Source organism: Homo sapiens, chromosome 6 (assembly GCF_000001405.40).
Source record: "Homo sapiens chromosome 6, GRCh38.p14 Primary Assembly".
NCBI lineage: Eukaryota > Metazoa > Chordata > Mammalia > Primates > Hominidae > Homo > Homo sapiens.
This window is the reverse complement of record NC_000006.12, coordinates 2,430,811-2,435,782: the sequence shown is the minus strand read 5'-3', so window position 1 is coordinate 2,435,782 and position 4,972 is coordinate 2,430,811. Positions and strand designations below refer to the sequence as shown.

Below are 4,972 nucleotides of genomic sequence, written 5' to 3'. Positions count from 1 at the left end.
ACCCCTAATGACAGAAGGGACAGAGGAACATGTTCCACCTGCCTTCAAGCTCTCCAGCTGTTACTGACACCTACACAGAGGCCAGAGCTAGATGGCCTTCAGGGGTATTTTGAGATGAGGTAGAACCTGCCCCGTTAAGCAGCAGCCCTGGCCTCAGGCCAGGCCCAGAGGAAACGTGTTGGGAGCCAGGAATGCCCAATTCCTATTCCAGGGGCCTCTTTCCCTGCTAGAAACGGGAAGGAGGAGGAGGAAGCTTCTCTGTGTCTTAGAGTCTCAAGGGTCAGTGAAGTATCTTGAGGAAAGAAATAAAGAAGAAGGAAGGAGGGAGAGTAAGCAGGGAACGGCAGAGACGATGTTGAAGAGAAGGACGGAGACGTCCCCCGGGACCGTGAGGTGGGCCCTCCTTGTTGCCATAACTCCAGCTGCTAATTTCCAGTTGTCAAGATTCATCTCCCAGAAAAGTAAAAGCTGAAAAGAACGTGTAATCTTCTTGAGAGAGACCCCACAGTATCTCCAGATGTTTTGGGTTATTCTGTGGTGAGGGGAAAAGGCCTAGGTTGAGAGAAGCAAATATGTTCATTCTTTGAAAGGAGGAAGGTCACCAAGTGGGAACGGTTTCCAGCCTTTGGAAGTATCGCATTTCAGCAGAAGGAGCCAGGAATAAGATATCATTTGTTACCTTTGCTAATCCATTAAGTAGACATTGGACAGCTGAGCTATTATTTGGAACTCTCTGCTATGTATCCTCTAACAAGGAAACAGTGTCCTGCTGAGTTTAGGTGTGGTGTGCGCTAAGGCGACATAAAACTTTCAGCAGCTTTCGATGAAGCTGATTTTTATTTTAGGGAACAGCACACACTGAATCAGTAGGAGAGATTGAAACCGCGGCCTTCCCTCCCCTCATCAGGAAACGCATTATTAGTAAATTACTGGATGCTTTAAACGGTTTATGGTGACGTTTTAAATCAAATCTACCCCCAGAAATAGGGTTTGTATTGAGCATGTGTGTGGTGGGGTTTTCTCCCTAAATGCAGTACCTCAGAATCATTGCAAAGGAGCGATGACATCCAGCTTCTCATTCTCCTGATAAAAACACGGAGGTCTGGGGAGGGTCAGTGACTGCATGAGAGCACAAGCTAACGTGGCGGCAGGGCCAGGACTGGAGCTGTGAGTGGTGTTTCAGAGTGCCAGCTGTCGCCCGGGCAGAACACGCATGGACCCAGGAACCACGTGATGGTCCTTGCCACTCCAGTGCCTGCCTGTTGTCTGCACCTTACCTGGGCTTTGGGCTTAGGTCAGCAGCTCTGTCTTCCAGCATGGCTTCTGTTTCTAGTTTGAGCAACACTGAAGGACCAGGGGCAGGGGCGGCCCCGAGCCCAGTGCCAGGTCCTGTGTGGAATAGAAAGGTGTGTGAGCTGCGGATGCTGGAAGCCTGACCCCACCATGACATCGTTCTGCATGACTTGCAGGTGATTCACACAGACCAGCCAGCACTGGCTGCTGCACCGTCCTTCCTCATTCCCATGACACAGCACAGGCCATGGCAGGTAAAGACAGAGGGCAAATTGAAAATACAGGTTAAAAGGCTCCTTTTCATTGAGTCCTGTTCACCTGACAATGACCCGTTGAGTAGGAAGTGTGGGGCTGACAGGTGGAGTGAGCCTAAGGCTAAGCCACAAGCGAGGGGCCCAGGCTGGGCCTGGAGCATGGTGTCGCCAGCTTCGAACCCTGCCCAGACAGCCGTGTCTCCCACGCCTCCTCAAAGAGGGCCTCTGATGCACAAGTGCTGTTTTGCTTGGCCAGCATAAGTTCCCTCTTCTGCTAACAGCCCCTCAGGTTTCCTGTGGGCCTGACTGTACCCTAGACTCAGGCTTTTGGAGGGTTGGCTGGACACCAAGCTCCTGGCGGGGTGCAGGGGCATTCCACCTGCCTTGCCTTGGTGATTGGCTCAGCGGGGCGATCATGATCCCAGCTGGGTGCAGAGACGCTGTCATGAAGAGAAGCTTCCTCTTTCTGCTGGAACTGCCAGCCATAAAGGTCAAGTAAGTCCTGAGCTTTCAGTTTCCCCCTGAGAGCAAAGCCACCAGGTAGGAAAGCTGAGATACAGAGGGCAGCGGGAAAGGGAGAGACCAAATCCGAATGACCGCATCCTGGAAGGCCTGGGATTCAATTGTGCCCCAGATTGAATCCAACACTGTTCAGTAGGTTCCCATTCTGCCTAAGTCAACAGTTACATTTCTGTCACTGCATCAAATACCAGGTTCATAATTCCAGTGTCCACATAGGGCTATGGGAAAAAACAGGAAAACTCTGAGGCAATTGCCAGTAAAGAATGTAAGCCTAATCGCATTCCACCAAGAGTTCTCCCAAAGCCCCCCTGCAGCCTTGCACTCGGGAGAGCCTCATTTAGCAGTGGAGACACACAACAGTGGCTGCCTCCATTTTGCTCCCTGCTTTGAATTGAGCATGAATTGTGCCATGATGGGGTGCACAGAAGGTAGGGCCGAAGAGCAGAGGCAGACCACCCAGCTGAGCCTGGGACAAAAGACAGCTCTCAAGACAGTTTGCAGGATGAGGGAGAACAAGAAGAGGAACATTTGGGGAGCAGGGGAGATGAAAAGCCCACTTTTAGAAATATGAAATTTTGGGCTATCTGCAGGACATCTGAGTAGTCATGTCCACTCAGGATGTAAAACGCAATTCTTAAAGTAATGGTGGACAGACATATGGGTCGGAGATACCAAATTTGTAGTCAACAACATTTGGGCAGTGGGGTTGGGGGAAGGTAGAAGGAGAGGTAGGGTTAGTTAAAACCATGGACACAGATGGATGAGGCTGCCCAGAGACAAGATGAGAGAGGAAGACGACACAGCCAGCCCTTGTGGGACAGCAGCCTTTAAAGGGCAGGACTGGGAGTGGGAACCAGGAAGGAAAACAAAAAGAAATGGTCAAGAATGAGAAGAAAAAAAAAACCAATGGGAAATGTCACTGAGGCTAAGCAAGAGAGTGTTTCCAAAAATAAAAGCCATTGAAAAAACCAAATGCCATGGAGATCAAAGAGAAGAAAAGCTGGGAAGGATCCCTGGGATTTAGTGGCCTTCTGCAGAGCAGCTTCATTGGTGTGACAGTGGCATGGACCACACCAGACACACTGAGCTGTCCCTTTCCTGAAGCGTCCTGCCTCTCTCCAAGAGTTCTGTGTGTTTCTCTCTCTCTCCTCCTCCTTCCCTGAGCCCCATACTTGTCTCTGTGTCTCCTCGTTGTGCATGCCTCCATGACCACGCTTAGTACATTCCAGGGAAATGATTCCCTTTGCATTTTTCTTTCTTACCAGACCATGAGCTCCTCCAAGCCAGGGACTCTGTGACTCATCTTTCTCTTTTAAGCATTGAACTTTGGTATCACTTACATCTGACAAAACGCACACATCTTAAGTAAGCAACTCAACTGATTTTTAGACACGCATCCACCTGGGTGATCCCAGCTAGATGAAGACATACAAGTTTCTAGAACCCGAGACCCCTGCCCCATGACCCCTCCCAGTTGACACTATTCTGACCTCCATCGCCAGGAATTAGTTTTGCCCAGTTTTGAACTTCATAGAAACGGAGCCATGGAGTCTGTACTCTTTGGAGCTGTCTGCTGTCACTTGACCTTTTGTCATCGTATTGCAGGTAACAGTAATCTGCTCCCTTCCACTGCTCTGTGTTGAATGAATCTACCATAATTTACGTGTCCACGGTTCTGTACGCAGACACGTGAGTTGTTTCCAGATTGTGCTGTTAAGAACAAGGCTGCTATGGGCACTCTGGTCCATCTCTTTAGTGGACATAGAACTCATGCTGGGAGGGACATGCTCCGGAGCCTGACTGGCATCTGATCGTTTCAGTACTCTCTCCTCATCCTATACATGGGGCCAATAGAGTAGACACCTAATAAGTAAAAATCACCCTGAAGTCATAAGCAAGTTTTCAGCAAATCTCTTACAGGAAGTTACAGTTAAAGCCGTTTCATAGGGTCTTTGTGGTATCATCAACAAATATTTTTGATTCAGTTTCCAAAAGCTCATGAGTAGGCCAAAAGATCAATTAGCAGACAACATCAGCCCCTCTACTTAAAGAAGTCATAATACAGGCTCATATATGTATATATATATATATATATTCAGTAGATAAGGTGAACAGCTTTTGTAATGAATAAGATAGCATATGAAGAATTTGTCTTCAAAGAAGACTCAGAAATAGGATCTGCAGTTTCACCAAGGGGAGAGATGAGACATGTACTCTACTCTAGGTTGGAAGGAGGGCCGGGTCAATGTAACTATTATTTTGCACAAAAAAATATGCTTGGGCAGGAATGGGGCCTCAGCAGGTGCCTCAATAAGTACCCCAGGAATGAACCTCACCAATCAAGATACCAAATTTGGGGGCTTACTTGTGAGATTCAGTTTTCACTGGTTAGAAGAAGTAAGCACTCCGGGAAAGCCAAGGAAGCAGGAGAAACCAGCCTTCGTAGTATGAAGAATGACATCAGGAAATGCCAGAGTTTCAGACTGTCACTATGTCCCCCTATCCTCACCCCCACTTTGAGGGGCAGAATTTGACCACAGGCTTGGCCTGAGTTTGCATAAAAAGAAGTGAAATCTTACCTGAAAGAAAGGATAAAAGGAACTGCAAGACACTGCAACTTCCGGTTTGGATGCAAGCCTTTTTCTTCATTCCACTTTCCTCCTTCTCCCAGGCCTCTGCCCAACCCATCACCCCAAGGCAGGATGCAAATCCAAATTTGAAGCCAATAGGATTTACTGGTGTTTTTCTGAGTGGCCTCCGTCCCCTTGGAACACTTTCCAAGAGGGAGGGAAATGACTATCTGCCTGCCCTGCTTAAAGTATCCATGCAAAATGAGGAGAGAAATAATTTAATCACAGGTGCTGGTGAGGGTGAATTGAAGGCCATCAATCCTCTGTGGCTGG

At 48.4% G+C, this 4,972-nt stretch overlaps 2 annotated features.

Moving 5' to 3' along the window:
- Window positions 759-1,958: an enhancer, noted in NCBI's record as "BRD4-independent group 4 enhancer chr6:2434059-2435258 (GRCh37/hg19 assembly coordinates)". NCBI's record gives its function as "activates an origin of replication core promoter dependent on BRD2, P300/CBP, MED14 and CDK7 cofactors, and independent of BRD4, by STARR-seq in HCT116 cells {active_cell/tissue: HCT116}" and the evidence as "EXISTENCE:reporter gene assay evidence [ECO:0000049][PMID:35650434]".
- Window positions 887-1,620: an enhancer, noted in NCBI's record as "H3K4me1 hESC enhancer chr6:2434397-2435130 (GRCh37/hg19 assembly coordinates)". NCBI's record gives its function as "activates a minimal SCP1, AML or CMV promoter by ChIP-STARR-seq in primed H9 embryonic stem cells {active_cell/tissue: H9 hESC(primed)}" and the evidence as "EXISTENCE:reporter gene assay evidence [ECO:0000049][PMID:30033119]".